The 16,705-nt window shown below is 37.1% G+C and overlaps 2 annotated features.

Moving 5' to 3' along the window:
- Nucleotides 840–1,179: an enhancer, noted in NCBI's record as "active region_21771". NCBI's record gives its function as "activates an Ori minimal core promoter by ATAC-STARR-seq in GM12878 lymphoblastoid cells {active_cell/tissue: GM12878}" and the evidence as "EXISTENCE:reporter gene assay evidence [ECO:0000049][PMID:35858748]".
- Nucleotides 15,463–16,157: an enhancer, noted in NCBI's record as "OCT4-NANOG hESC enhancer chr4:105836828-105837522 (GRCh37/hg19 assembly coordinates)". NCBI's record gives its function as "activates a minimal SCP1, AML or CMV promoter by ChIP-STARR-seq in naive H9 embryonic stem cells {active_cell/tissue: H9 hESC(naive)}" and the evidence as "EXISTENCE:reporter gene assay evidence [ECO:0000049][PMID:30033119]".

Here is a 16,705-nt window from a genome sequence, read left to right as displayed (position 1 = left end):
CCTCTAACTTTTTTCCAAGGTTCTTAGCTTCCTTGCATTGGGTTAGAACATGCTCCTTTAGCTCGGCAGAGTTTGTTATTACCCACCTCCTGAAGCCTACTTCCTTCAATTGGTCAAACTCATTCTCCATCCAGTTTTGTTCCCTTGCTGGCAAGGAGTTGTGATCCTTTGGAGGAGAAGAGGCATTTTGGTTTTTGGAATTTTCAGCCTTTTTTTGTGCTGGTTTTTCCTCATCTTCCTGGATTTATCTACCTTTGGTCTTTGATGTTGGTGACCTTCAGATGGGGTTCCTGTGTGGACGTCCTTTTTGTTGACATTGATCCTATTCCTTTGTGTTTGTTAGTTTTCTTTCTAACAGGCCTCTCTGCTGCAGGTCTGCTGCAGTTTGCTGGAGGTCCACTCCAGACCCTGTGTGCCTGGGTATCACCAGCAGAGGCTGCAGAACAGCAAAGATTGCTGCTGTTCCTTCCTCTGGAAGCTTCATCTTAGAGGGGCTCCTGCCAGATGCCAGCTGGAGCTTTCCTATATGAGGTGTCTGCTGACCCCTGCTGGGAGGTTTCTCCCTGTCAGAAGTCACGGGGTTCAGGGACCCACTTGAGGAGGCAGTCTGTCCCTTAGCAGATCTCAAGGGCTGTGCTGGGAGATCTGCTGCTCTTTTCAGAGCCAGCAGGCAGGAACATTTAAGTCTGCTGAACCTGTGCCCACAGCCACCCCTTCCCCCAGGTGCTCTGTCCCAGGGAGATGGGAGTTTGATCTATAAGCCCCTGACTGGGGCTGCCACCTTTCTTTCAGAGATGCCCTGCCCAGAGAAAAGGAATCTAGAGAGACAGTCTGGCTACAGTGGCTTAGCCAAGCTGTGGTGGGCTCCGCCCAGTTCAAACTTCCTGGCCGCTTTGTTTACACTGTGAGGGGAAAACCACCTACTCAAGCCTCAGTAATGGCAGACGCCCCTCCTCCCACCAAGCTCCAGCATGCCAGATTGACTTCAGACTGCTCTGCTGGCAGTGAGAATTTCAAGCCAGTGGATCTTAGCTTGCTGGGCTCCCTTGGGGTGGGATCCTCTAAGCTAGACCACTTGGCTCCCTGACTTCAGCCCCCTTTCCAGGGGTCTAACTTTTTCTGTCTTGCTGGTGTTCCAGGCACCACTGGAGTATGAAAAAATTTCCTGCAGCTAGCTCGATGTCTGCCCAAATGACTGCCCAGTTTTGTGCTTGAAACCCAGGGCCCTGGTGATGTAGGTACCGGAGGGAATCTCCTGGTCTGCAGGTTGCGAAGACCGTGGGAAAAGCATATTATCTTGGCCAGGGTGCACTGTTCCTTACAGCACAGTCCCTCAGGGCTTTCCTTGGGTAGAGGAGGGAGTTCCCTGACCCCTTGTGCTTCCTGTGTGAGGTGACATCCCACCCTGCTTCAGCTCACTCTCCATGGGCTGCACCCGCTGTCTAACCAGTTCCAGTGAGATGAGCTGTGCACCTCAGTTGGAAATGCAGAAATCACCCACCTTCTGCGTTGATCTCGCTGGGAGCTACAGACCGGAGCTGTTCCTATTCAGACATCTTGCCAGCCACAATCCAACAGTGGCTTTAGTAAATAAGGAATTATTTTTTCCTACAGAGCAAGAAGTAAGAATATAGAAAATTGCTGGCATTGCTCCCATTGTTCATGATGCTGTCAAGGATATAGGCTCTTTCTACCTTGCATTCTCCTTCCTTCATTTGCTGGCTTTTTCCCCTTTGGCTGAAGGCCCCACGGTTTTTAATATGGCTACCACAACACCAGGCATCATATCCATGCAGGAAGAAGAAGAAAGAGGGAAGGGGAGAGTCCAGCTCCATTGGTCTCTTTTATTAGAAAATATCCCTCCTAGTTGCAAAGGAGAGTGAAAAAATGACTATATGGCAAAGGGAAAGAACATTGTGATTATCACCTTAGAATGGTTGTTCATCACCTCCTAGAGATGAGCACATTGCTCTTGTATACAGACAAGTTCTGATAGCAGAAACAGGGGAGATTAGTCATTGATTGGCAGTTTTTAGTCTTCCACTGTGGAGGAAGAAAATGGAATTGGTGGCAGTCTTGAAGGCCTTTTTGGTAGGTTTAGGAGTTTCAGCTTTATCAACAAATATGTAGTATTTAGTATGTGTCTCCAGTAATTGAATGTGTGTGTTGTCATAAACCATAAGATATTTCAAGAGTTTTAGGTTGAGTTATGTTTATAAAAATTTTTTATCATATTCTAGTTTTATGTACTAGAAAAAATACTTGTCAAATAGGCCTTACATAGGGAGGGTTTTTACAACTTACTTAGAAAAATAACCAGAAATGGTGGACCTATTTATCCACCAGAAGCCGGATGTATTCTGGAGCAGCCTATATGGTTTTAGAATTTCATCCAAATTTGATGCAAGGAGATGCAAGTACTCTCTACAACCTGGCAATGCCAAGTCCCCCAATACATGCCCTTAGTAGGATTTGTGAACACTTAGCCGACAAGTATATACTCAGTGTCTCATGTCTAAATGTGACACAAAAACAGCAATGAGATACTTTTGGAATGACATTTCATCTCATACACAGAATTTGCCTGACTATATGTAATTATGTTAATACTTCAAGTGTTCATTTAATTATCTTTCTGTTAAAATGTATTTAACTTATCATTAAAGTACCAATAATCTTTAGACCAATAAAGTAGATAGTAGGAGGTCTAAAATACAATGATTTATACTATTTTGGAAAAGAAAAATCCCTTTAAGGAAAGTGTTACAAATAAAATTTCTTTAACTCTTTAATCAGGTATTTTCCTACTTAGTGAATATTTATGTGTATGGAAATTCATCACAGGATTGCTTTTATGTCTTTGCTTTTAATACTTGGTGCTAAATTTTAGTGATTATGTAGATTGGTTAAAGTTTTGACCTTTTGGAAGTTTGTTTTCTTGTTGTTGTTATTGATTTTAATTACTTTGTAATAAATTCTAGATCTTTGTAAGATATGTGACCATTATTGGCATCAGTTTGTAAAAGCTATAAGCCATAGTGGTTTCCTTATATGCAAATGAAAGAATGCAGAGGTATACACAGAGCGATTCAGAGGCATATTCAGGAAAGGGGGAGATCATTACATCTTAACCTATTTCTATTTTACCATGTTCCTTTCCTGTGGGAAAACATGAAAATGTGGTGATTCATTAAGACATGTTAACCAGGAAGTAGAGTCCCTATGGCCATTTCACATCTAGAAGAAAAATTTTATAACTGTTGCTAAATAGATTTAATCAATAGGAACTAAGACTTGAGATAATGACAGATAAACAGAGGTACAAGTACTAGAGATATTGCCGTCAAAAATATTTGGTGATTTTTAACTGACCTCAAAGACCATCTACAAGCATTTTATTAGGATTCCTATGTTGTCATTCTCATATAACAACTTGATACCACCATTTCATGTAACATTATTCTGCCATATCTACTAGAAATTAAGAATTGTTGGGGGGCTAGCTAATGTGCTAGGTCCAGAATGTACATTTTTGGAGCAATCATATAAGGATCTAGCTATAAGGATTGTGGATCCATATGAATTCTGTAGGTCATCTCAAAATCTCTGCATATCTAACTTTATTTTTTTCTTTTCTTTCTCTCTTTCTCTCTCTCTCTTCCTTTCCTTTCTCTTTCTTTTTCTCTTTCCTCTTTCCTTTCCTTTCTCTCCACAGAGTCTAACTCTGTCACCTAAGCAGGAGTACAGTGGCATGAACATAGCTTGCTGCAGCTTCAAACTCCTATGCTCAAGTGGTTTTCCTGCCTCAGCTTCCTGAGTAACTAGGACTACAGGTGCGTGCCACCATGCCCAGCTAATTTTTGTATTTTTTGTAGAGATAAGATCTTACTATGTTACCCAGGATGGTCTTGAAGTCCTGGCTTCAAGTGATCATCCAGCCTTGGTCTCCTAAAGTACTGGGATTACAGGCATGAGCTACCATGCCTGGCCGGGATATCTAAGTTTTGTGTGTAATAACCTTATTTCTTGTGTTGAGGCTTTTCTCTACTATTATATATAATAGTGTAGAAAAAGGATATATATATATATATATACATCTCTCTCTCCTTTTGTTTCTGTGATGTATAGATCACTCACTTCAATTTTCTGTGGACAGTTTTTTAAACACAGATGTGTTTTTGTGACTAATGGTGGCTGTTGGGTTGTTAGAGATCCAAAGACAGAATAAAATCACAGGGAGAACCTTCAAGTATTACAGAGCAGGACCAAGTAGATGGTGTCTTTCTCCCTACCTCCATGCTTCCTTCCTCCCTCCCTTCTTTCCTTTGCTTGCTTCTCCTTTCTGGGTAGGCATTTGTAGGAACTGTTTTAGCCTCTAGAATCATACAATATTTGACAAAAGAAAAAAATAAAGATGGAGAGGCTCATAGCTGTAGAATTTGAATTGCTCACTTTTGACTCAATGCACTTTCTAACACTGCTTTTAAGTACTAGGTGACAAAATAAAATGATACACTACTTTACGGACATATATAGTTTTAGAAAGTATTCGATTGAGTTACAGAATGTTGTCCAGGCAATTAAGAACAGTATTTACCTATGTTCTTTATCTTGTGACTGGTTTAATGGGTCTACCCTGAGAATAGTTCTATTTGATGATACTTTCCCTTAAAAAGATACTAAGATATTTGTAGCTGTACAAAGTAAGTTACTTCTGTTTGAAGAGCACTGGATTCTTTATGAAAGGTGTTCATCCCATTATGATTGTATAATAAACATAAAGATTTTTAAATCACCGTTGTGTTCAAGTAGGTAAATGGAAACTCTGCAAAGAATCTGCTTACTACTGGGGATGGAGGTGGGAAGAGCCTTTTTGGAATGATGTGTTACAGAGAAACTTTGCTCTCTGGAGTCCATATATCATTTACAGCAAAAAGAAGAAACACATTGCTTATAGACGAGAGAGTCTTGGATTAGGAATTCATAATGTGCTAGGGGATGCTGATGAAGCTTCTACCTGGAATAATGAATGTGAACTGTACATTCAGGGTAAAAATAACATTAGTTATGAGATTCTCTAAGTTGCTTGACATGACATGTTCTAACTTATACTTTAAGCTTGACTGCCTTCAAATATCTCTTAAATAGCAAAGCTATATATAAATGAGCCCATTTATTTTGGATGACTGGTTATAGGAGTAATGCATGCCATTTCCATCATCTTATATTTCTAATTTAGCTGGACTGAAATGATGTTCATCTTTTATGATGGGATTAACATTTGGAAACTCTGCCAGTTTTCTAGATGCTGGCATTCTGTGGTTTGTAGAGCCTGTAGAACTGTCTTCTACTGGGGATGGGAGGCGGGTGGGATGGTTCAGGCTTGATCTACATGAAAATGCACATCACACCTGGTTTGCTCTAGGTGATTATCTGCTAGCTAGTGCGCTTTAGGAGCTGGTTGAAAAGGTGGAGTGTGTGTGTGTGTGTGTGTGTGTGTGTGTGTGTGTGTGTGGAGGGGTAGTTTTGCTTGTCACAGGTCATTTCTTGTTTAGTTGGGCTTGTTGAATCTCCTCATAGAAAACATCCATGTCCTGTTTATCAGGTTTCTTTAAAGTCCTTTTTCTCATTGCTATCCAAAATGCACTACTATTTTCCTGCGTGTCAACATGCCTTCTTTTTTCAGCATGGCAAACAAGGCAGCCTCCCTTCAAATGTATTCCAATTCCTACGGGCAAATATTTTCATCATCATTTATGTGGGTAATTACAGGTATTCCTTCTGTAATTTATAAAATTATAGGAAGTTTAATTTATCTTTGTTGTGGGTTTCGATTACAGAAAGTTGTCTAGTTCCAGCGCTTTGCTCTCAAATCTGTTGTAATATATTAATTTTCGACTTTAAATTAAAGCTTTATTATTTCTATCACCACAATGGGAATAGATGGGGTAGAAGAACTTAAATTTAAAAAAGAAATGAGGGTCCTTCAAGCAATTCTGATTTTAGTGTGGCTGAAGTGTTTGTTTTTGCTGTTTTTAAGTCTCTCTACCACCACCCCTGCTCCCTGCCACTGGGATTTAGGAATGACTAGCAGTTTACAGGTCTTAAAAAATATTCATTGTAATAATAAGGGCTAGGTTATTTTTCTCTATTTTCCTACAGTGTGTTAGTTTATAAACAAAAGGATTTTTAAAAAAACAATTAAAATATAAGTAAAGAAGTAAGGACTAAATTTTAATCATGCTTTGTTTAGAAATAAGGTTTTTCTTTAATGATAGTAACATGTTTTCCTTCTCTTGAATAATTTACACATTTTGTTATCAGAATGTCTTCTGCATAAAAGAGGTTAAAATAAATCATTAGATGATTTTAGGGAAGTCAATGTAAAATTAAATATACTATTTGAAACAGTCTAAAAGTGCAGACACTGTGTGTATTTAAATTTCCCATGTAAGGAGTCATCAATCTTTGGCAATAAATTTTTCTGAGTGTAGCAAAATATGGCTTCTCTACAGGGAGCAAAAGTAAAGAAATTTAAAACCTATACAAGTTTCTCTGGGATTCTGGCCAACCAAGATAAGATGATATAATGTAAAGTTGATAAGAACATTTTCCCCCTAATTAAAACAAAAGAAAAAGGACGAAGAAACTTTCTCTGGCACAAATATAAATGAAATGTATCTCCAGACTGACCCAAGAAAAGAAGAGAGAGGTTGTTATTGTTGTTGTTATTATTGATTTTTTTTCAGGAGGAAATCTTCAGAAATACTTTAAGCAGGACCAGTTTTTTTAATCAAACAGAAATATAATATTTACAGTCTTTCTGCCTAAATCTTTCCTGTAGAAGATGAGAAAATGTATAACAGTATCAGGGCCAGGAGGTCCTCATGCGGTCTTTGTTTTGAGCGGTTCCTGCCTATCATTTTTTCATATGCTCTTGTAGCTTCTGATCTCTTCTAGCACAAATAAAATTTTCTGTATGATATCTTTTTAGCCTGAAAGTATTAATGTGCTTCCTTTTTTAAACCAAGCTTATCTAACCTTCGTGGCCCAGGATGGCTATGAATGTTTCCCAACACAAATTCGTAAATTTTCTTAAAACATTATGAGATTTTTTTTTTATTTTTTTAGCTCATCAGTTATCGCTAATGCTAGTGTATTTTATGTGTGGCCCAAGATAATTCTTATTCTTACAATACAGCTCAGGGAAGCCAAAAGATTGGATACCCCTCCTTTAAACCAATAGTTTATTCTATTTTATTCTTAAACTAGATTATATATAAGTTAATATCTATCTAATATAATTTATTATAGTAGTACTTATTAAGATTATGTAATTTTTTCCCTCAAGGAAAGCTGTAGAGTAAGTTATGTTTATGGACATGGAACTGGGTTTTGTGGGTTCAATTGCTTAAGCCACCCAGTGTAACGTATTTTTGTTTAAAAAGCAGATCAAACTGACTAAGACAATATAACTTTGGAACAGGATATTATTATGCAATTTCCCTGGGCTCAGGGATCCAAGACAGAGGCAACCAAATGACACCCCCTGGCATATCTTTGGTACATGGAGCTTAGATTTTTGGCAGAGGAAAGTTGGGCAGCCTATTTACATGGATGTTATATAGGAGATACTATACAGGAAAGACTTTTAAGAAAGAAACCCCGACTTTAAGATATTTTTTCTTTTTAGTTTAAAAGTTATTAAAACCTACGGGATAGACTGGGTAATGCTGACCTAGTCAAGATGTCAATAAAGTGCAAAAAAAATGCTGATATGATAAAGAATACATTAAGAGGATGTGACTAAGCCAACCAGTGAATGGAAAAATGCATCAAGGAAAATTTGGTTCTGGTTCTACAGATAGCTTTACTTGGAATCTGTCTAAACCGTATTATTTTGGTAACCCATTTGCCTAATAGAAGTGGATGTATCCGTGAATGCAAAGAGTTGCAACTTTGGGAGTTCAAGCCAAATTTGACACAGTTAAGAACTCCTTACCTAGGCCAAAATCTGAGCTGGATGTTCTGGCAAAGGTCAGAGTAGATTTCTCACTTCAAGTCCATCTCTGTGGGTTGCCTTGGCTCTCGTGGTAGCCATGATAGTGAGCAAGGACATAAGGAAAGCCAAATGTGATCCATTCAAGAGGCACCTTCAGGTTATGTTAGGCATGGACACCAGGTCTTCAGCATTGAACACAAGACAGTAAGGAGGATCTGGAACAACCAGAATTGAGAGCAGTCATGTAGACCTCCAGCCTAAGAAGGGACATTTAGTTTTGGATCTATTAGCAAGATGAAATCAAACAGTGTTGATCCTTTGTACAGAAGAAACACTATGGGGATAATTGGATATACTGGGGCAAAGAATTAAAAAAAATACTGGAAAACTTGAAATTGTACTTTGAAATTTTTCTGCAGAGTAACACTGTATCTCAAGCTGTGGAAGAAGAAGATACCAGTGACATGCTGATACTCACTGTCACATACAAAACTATATTGTGGGTGATTTCCTAAATCATTCAAGGTTTTTCAGAATCATGCATTTGAATAACTTCACATTAGTTCATATTATAGATGTGAGAAGACACATTTTCTAAGGTGCTCAATATGGAACAAATGAGAAAAACAGACATATCAGAATCCAGTCCCATAGTGTACATAGTGAACAGAACATAGCACTGGAGTCTGAGACCTGTGTTCAAATCCTGATTATTTTTATGGCTATTTTATTAAATTATTTAAACTTTCAAAGTTTTCAAATTATTTAAACTTCCTGAGCTTCATTTTCTTCATCTGCAAAACAGTGGTAATCATATTTGCTTTGCAGGATGCCTGTGGGGTTTAAATAAAGTAATAAACCTTAAAGAACATAAGTAACAATAGGCAACCAATACAAGGTAGCTATTGTAATGTGTTCTGTGCTGGTAAATTATTCAACTTCTCTTTTCAGTGATGCTTAAATTTCTATCATTAATGTGGCAGTTAAATAAGGCACAGGCTTTTTTTGATGGTGATTTTTGAAAATCCTTCCTATGTTTAAGAGAAAAATGCCTAAAGAAAACAGAAGACCCAAAAACAACCTCCTCCTTTGACAACATCATTCTCCAAAGATCATTTGCACAATTGTTGATTGGCAACATTGCATTGGCTTACAAAAAATAACACTATAAAAGTACAACATGTTAAGTAAACAAACTGTCTTTACAACACTCAGAAGTTCATGTGGGTAATACCACAAGAAAAATTTTTATAACATAAACGATACTTATTTTGATCATTTTGTTTTTTAGAATTTGTTTACACATACACTATTCCTTTTAAGCTAGATTTCCAAATTATAAAGTAGAGAAGATAATTAAAACAATTATTTGAAAAACAAACCTCTAAAGAAAAGGACATTCATGGTTGACAGAACAAAGATGGCCCTTGGCGTGGCATCTGTGAGCTAGGTTTACTTCATGGAGAATGTTTGTCTTTTATCCAGAGTTGTTTGTTTATTTTAAAGGACAAGTGAATTTAGTATTGAAATACCGAATAGTATATTTTTTATTGACTGAGATGTATTAGCATTTGTTTTAAAATTTCACTTAGTATATTTTTATTATTATAAAGGTAATATATTTTCCTGGTAGAGAATTTGGAAAATGTAGATAAATAAAAAGAAGAAAATAAAACCATCTATGATCCTGCCAAAGATAACTACTCAGCATATTTCTCCTTTTAAAAATTCATTTACTCCTATATACACACATGTATAAAACAAAAACACAATCACATATTTGTAATTTACATTTTTTAACCTAGTAATATATTTTGAACATTTGCCTATGTTGCTTAGTGCTTTTTCATTTCATTTTTAATACTTGCACAGATTTTCATTGTATAAATAAACCATAGTTTATTAAACCATTCTTCTTAGAATAATAAATAATTATTAGTAGTAAATACATTTTACTCTGGTAAAAATAAATTTCTAACATTTTACCTTTTTACTAATTTTCATCCACTATGAATATTTCTACAAACAATTTTGTGGCTCACTCTCTACACCACTATGATTTTGTATAGGATGAATTTGTGGGTCAAATATGATATGCAAAAATCTTAGTGTTTTATACGTGTTCTATATTGCCTTCCAAAAGAAAGTTAAAGAATAACATTTCTTTCTCTGGTCCTTCAGTGCATATTTCCACAAATCCTCTACACGGCTTATTTCTTTAAAAAATATTTACTAAATTGTTGGTAGAATGGATACAATTTTATATTTGTCCTTATTATTTGTGTGATTGGATAAATTCATTTCTTGTATGTATTTGTCTATTATTTGTAAAGGATCCCAAACAGGTGTGCAAAAGTATTAAAGTTTAGCATTGAGTAGAGATAAAGGATATGTCACTTGCTTTCCTTACTTAAGTTAAGGCTTTACTTCTTCAGTCCTTCTTGGTATAGCATCTCATACAATTCCTTAAGTAAAGTCGTCATATTTTAAATTACAGGGAACTGAAAATTGATTTGACTTGGATGTTCAAATGATAGATCAAATCTATGATTTATGCTATGTAGAAAAGCGCTTGCTAAAAATCAAAACTCCATAAACGCACATTACCTCGAATTAGTCTTGCACCTTTCATCTACAGACCTGGTGGGACTAAAAAAGAATAAATATAAATATTATTAATTGTCATTCAGAATCTTTGGTGAATGAAAAGGGCCATTACTAGATTCTGGTTCTGGTTTACCAACCTAGTCAGTTCATAGAGGAAGCTGGGGCCTGTTGAGGCAACATGGTACAATGGAAAGCTTTTAGACTCTGCCCGGGTTCAAATCCTGGTTCTGCCACTTACAAAATGTAAATAGAAGGAAAATGTACTTAATTTCTTGGAGCTTTATTTTTACGCCATTTCTCAGACATGTGAGTGTTAGTGGGTTCTTTGGATTATTGTGAGGTCAGTTCCTCTCATTTTAAATGACTTTCCCAGGGTCACTTAACTAATTAGGCAGAGTGGACTAGAGTGTTTATCCCCTGATGGTTCATCATATGCTCTGTTCAGTATACCATGGCTACTTTTCTAGCTAAGGATTTTGAAGCATGCCATATTAAGGCACATCATTTTAATTATAAATAGACTAGAATGAAACAAAGGTGTGACAAATACTGTGGTTTGGTTGATCCAATCTGTTGTTAATGTCATCCAGCTAAAGACCACCAGGAACATACCTGTAATCGAGCAAGTCTGACTTATTAATAGATGCAAGAAAGGAGACCACACACCATGGGAAATGTGGGGCATTTCAGTAAGAGGGTGTTTGGAAGGATTATTACAGGATCTGGTCTCAGGTGATTTTTGGGGAGGGCTTAAGAAAGTGGCTTTGCTCTGAATTGGATGCTATCAGGAATTGGGGGTAAATATATGATTGCTTATTTTAAAAATCTTATCTATAATATGGGAAAAATAAAGTGAGGCTAAAGAATCAAACTGGGAAAGAAGCAGCAGCTACTGATATTAGCCAGGCTATGAAGGTGCTTGGTATTTTTGTGGTTTGCACAATGATCTTGTTTATGTGCTTAGACAAGGTTATAGAGTGGTCTTTTTTTTTTTTCAGTTCATCATGGTCACTGATGTTGGTGATTTGGAAGCTTGTTTATGTTCAACAGGATATCATCAAGGCCTATTTATGAACATAGCTAGCTTTTCACAACATCAAGGCCTAGCTATATAGCTGCAGTTTCTGAAATGTCAAAAGCTGCTCTTCTTTTTCTCTCTGCATCTCTTTTCTCTCCAGCCACCTTTCTGCAAGGACTGGCTCCGGGGCAAAATTATAGCCAAAGAAACATACACAGAAGTTTCCTGGGAGCTTCCTAATAAAACTTTTACTTTCAAATATTGGTACCACCCATTCTCCTTGCTACATCCTCTTTCTTCTTGTTGGAAAGGGGATATAATTGTAGAAGCCACAACAGCTTTTTTGTAATTGTGAGGACAAAGTAAAGTGATCTCAGAGTCTTTGGCATCATTGATCTGCTGAACCAGCCCAGCACTGCTAAACTCTGGATTTCTCATTATGGGAGAAAAATACTTCTCATTTTTTTCAAGCCACTGTAGTCAGGCTTCCTGTTTGTTACCTGTTGCTGAAAGCATTCCAAAAACATTGGGCATTCACCTTCATTATTTACTAAACTAGATACTCTTCTGGCAGCCAAATTTTTATGATGACTCAGAACATATTCCATTTGGAAATAGAGCTTGGCAATTATTCTCCCCTTTTAAAAATTAGTCTTAAGTAAATGAATTACTGTTCTTTCTGCTTCATAAGGTTTGTCATTATTACTTCACTCAGATGCAATTGCTTTCAGAAACCTGAATAAGAAAGAAAGCTTTAGAAACCTTCCAGATTAAGTTCTGCAGGAAGAAGTGTGGGTACATTTGTAGACTTGATTATTTAAAGGGTGGATACAGCTATAAACCTAATTGCTAGATAATTGTGACTTCACCACTGCAATTTGTTGGGTCCCTATTCCCATTGTGATTTGTCAAGCTTCACAGTGTATTGGTTGTTTTTAATGATCATTGACTTAGAGGTGAAAAGAACTCCTGTTTTCCTAGGGGATAATTCCCTGGTTATTCTGTGCTATAGTGGTTAGAAGGTTAGATTGCATATTACAGAATCAATGCCCACTGGAAAACTAATAGCATGTTTGGAAGTGATGATGAGGACAATAGCTAATTACTATTAACTGTGTAGGAAAACTAAACTGCAGGGCCGGTAGGAATCCAGCGCCTGCTAGATGCTGGATGAGAGTTCTTAACAAAAGAAAAGTGAAAAGGTTCAGGGAAACTTCATGTATTGACAGCTGGGATTTGTACATTAAAAATCTTGTGCCTGTGGTCAGAATAAATTTTACTCTGGTCAAAATAAATTTTTTCTCTACCCACCAACTGGTAATTATTTTACAAGTGATAGTTTTTTATTTTTTTAAAAAATCTCCTTCTGCACCTTACACATAATAGATACAAAATAATTACTGTTCAAGAAATGCTTGAAAATATATTAAAATTGGACTCTAAAGAATAGTTTAATTTCTGCAATAATGACAGTAATAATTTATCAAAATGTTCTCCATAAATAGTAAATTATTTAGCAGATCACCATTCATATATAACAGATATATTACTGAATAAAATATATTAATGTTCACTGTGGTTAACATAAAATATCCAGATGGGAGGGAATTTAATAATTTATGGGGATGATTCTTGTCCACTTAACTAAGTAGGATGTGAATTTTGCATAAAGTGCTTGACCGTTCCATGAAAACTTGTCACTGTTTGAGAGAGACCAGGATCTTATTTTTCAAGAAAAACTTAATAGTAAATTACAACAAAATAGTTTCACAATATAATTTTCATGTCTTACACTTCAAATGCTTACAAAAAGTCTGCTTTTTCTGCCAGTTCTTGTAGGCATATGGAATAAATCTATCTAAATGATGTGATCCATATAAACTTAATCCACTGGTGGGGTATTGGTTGTAGGTCTATGTTGAAATTACAGTTACTATACACCTTCACATAGTTTTAGTAAATTTCAGGGGTTTGGTAAATGAGGAACATGCAGAATCATAGTTTTATAGCCATATTGAGTGTGATGTTTATTACATAGCCTTCTCAGAGTTCCTCACCATTTTGTTTCTCTAGAAAGCATGCTCTTTGAAATGGATGGTAGATATATGTTGGAAGATCTATTGGAAAAAAGGGGGGTCGTTACAAGCTTATCCAGGTTTTCCTATTTTGGGATTTTTTTAATGATACGATCTATCTTCCTGCAGATTAAGTTCTGGCAAAGTATATGTTTTAATTAACTTATTTTGAGAGAATGAATGAATGAATGAGAACTCTCAACCTTTATTTAAAAATAAATTTACTAGGAACTTCTCTCTAAATCTGTTAAAAGCCATAATGAAGGTGGGGAAAGGGACAATTGTAATTCAGTAAAATAAATACAAAATTGGATATATAAACTCTGCAATGAGAAATACAGGAGGGAATCTAGGAGTGGACTTATTTCTCTGGAGTGATGTCTGAGATAACTCTTGAGAGAGAAGTCATTGTTTTCTAGGTAGACAAGGAGTTGGGAGGGCAGAACAAAGTTTCATACTGTGGCCAGGAATGTCCTAAAAAGTGCCATGGAATACTGTGGAATCTTAGAAGTTTAATGAGTTCGTTATGTTAGAAGTCTTATGGCTTTTTTTTTTTCTGACAGAGAAGAGCCAAGAGATGGTGTTATGCAGGTGGTTTGGAGTTAGCTCATGCAGGCACTAAAGGCATGCTAAAGAGTTTTAAGTTGCGTCTTGCAGTTGCTATCCGCTAAGCTCCAGTACAGCAGCAACCATGCCTGCCTCACTCAAGTGGCAATCCAGAGGGCTGGGAGAGTGTCTGACACATTGTAGTTGCTTAGTGTGTTTTTATTAAGTGAATGAGTTAGAAGCGATTGAAGGAATTTGAGAAAAGGAATAACCCATTAAGATTTGAAATTTAGGACTGTCACTGACAGCAGTACAAACATGGAAGAGAAAGGTGTATGGTTTCAATGGCTGCTATAACAAATTGCCACAAAGTTAGTGACTTAAAACACCAATTTATCTTATAGTTCTTTAGGACTGACATCCAGCACAGGTCTCACTATACTAAAGTCAAGGTATGGGCAGCGCCGTATTCCTTTCTGGAGGCTGGAAGCGACAAAATCCCTTTCTTTGCCTTTCCCAGCCTCTAGAGGCTGCCCATTTTTCTTGGCTCACGGCTCTCTTCCTCCATCTTTCTCCAGCCACATTGCGCTCTCTGACCAGTCTTCCATCTTCACATGTCTCTAACCACAGACCAGAAATGTTCTTTGATTTTAAAGGCTCATGTGATTAGATTGAGGCTACCTGAGTAATCCAGGAAAATCTCCTCATATCAAGGTCCTTAACTTTAATCACATCTGCAAAAGTTCATTTTTTTCCATAAAACATATTCACCGGTTCTGGGGACTAGGATGTGGACATTTCTGGTAGGCTGTTATTCTACCTACCTCAAGGGGCCTGAGGGGTGCTCCATATAGGAGACTAGTAACGAAAGAGTGTATGAAGGGATAAAGCCAGTTCCCGGTTCACCAAACCGTTTTGCTTTCCTCTTTGTTAGAGAGGTAGACTGAATTTTGTTCCTTTTTTTTTTTTGAGACAGAGTCTTGCTCTGTCACTCAGGCTGGAGCACAGTAGCGTGATCTCAGCTCACTGCAACCTCCGCCTCTTGGGTTCAAGCGATTCTCCTGCCTCAGCCTCTTGAGTAGCTGGGACTACAGGTGTGTGCCACCTCGCCCAGCTAATTTTTTTGTATTTTTAATAGAGACAGGGTTTCACCATGTTAGCCAGACTGGTCTCGAACTTCTGACCTCAGGCAATATGCCTGCCTCGGCCTCCCAAAGTGCTGGTATTACATGTGTGAGCCACTGCACCCGGCCCCTTCTTTGTATTGTTGTGGCTAATATGACCAAGCTCTGTGCAGTAGGAGTTAATGCGTGCCTTATCCGGGCCCCTAAAACACTTCTCATGTAATCCTCCATGCTTTTTCTTTTCTCTCTTCTACTGGTTGAATGTAGAGGGATCTGGCACAGTACTTGGAGGCACTGCGGGATGGCAGGGTCTCTAGCCAGAAGCAGCTAGAACCCTAAGAGGAGCAGAGATCCCTACCAAGCACATTGCACTCCGTTTGCATGAGAAATAAAGCTTTTCTTGTGTTAAGCCACTGAAATTTGCAAAGTATTTGCCAGAGCAAACACTCTAACATGACCTTTGAATTTCAATGTGGTGGTAGGGTGTTGATGATATAACAAAAATACAAATCAGTGCAGGTGGCATTGACTTAGTGTTTGGCCCATGGGCAGGACCCTTCTATTAGGGGCTGGAAATAAACTATGTTATAAAGGGGAGCAATTTTTATAAGTTGTTGTCTGGAATAACTTGGAAGGCAGACATTATGCCTAAAGATCTCTACAGTTTAACACAGTGATTCTTAACCTTGGCTGCATTTCAAAATCACCTGAGGAATTTAAAAAACTTATTCCTACTCAAAGACCACTCCCAGAGATTCTGATTTAATTAAATGGTTTCTGTGTATGTGTTGAGGGGAAGGCGGCGTTAGTATTATTTAACAGCTAGGATTGAGAACCAAAGCTGTAGGGCAAGGATCAGCAAACTCTTTCCGTAAAAGGCCAGATAGTAAGAATTTTAGGAGTTGGCCTTGGGAGTAATACTATCTCTGTTGCAATTATTTAACTCTGCTATTACAACATGAAAGCAACATGACAACAGGTAAGCAAATGGTTGTGGCTGTGTTCTAAAAAAAAAAACTTTATAAAACAGGCAATGAGCTGGTTTTTATATGCAGGCCATATTTTGCTGATTCATATCTAGGACAGTGATTCTCAAACTTTTTATTCTCAGAGCTGTTTTACCCTTTTACAAACTATTGAGGACCATAAAAATCTTTTGTTTATAAGTTATATCTAGCAAAAATTACCATTTAAAATTGAAATAAACATTTAAAAAATAATGAATTGAAAATAGTAAGTATCATGTTAACATAAATAACATTAAAGAAAATTAAAATTGTCATAATGGATATATTTGTGGTGTGCATAGTGATGTTTTGCTACATGTAAAGTG

The sequence above is a fragment of the Homo sapiens genome, chromosome 4, assembly GCF_000001405.40.
Source record: "Homo sapiens chromosome 4, GRCh38.p14 Primary Assembly".
Classification (NCBI taxonomy): Eukaryota; Metazoa; Chordata; class Mammalia; order Primates; family Hominidae; genus Homo; species Homo sapiens.
The sequence above is the reverse complement of the archived record's forward strand: the minus strand, read 5'-3'. Positions and strand labels throughout refer to the sequence as shown.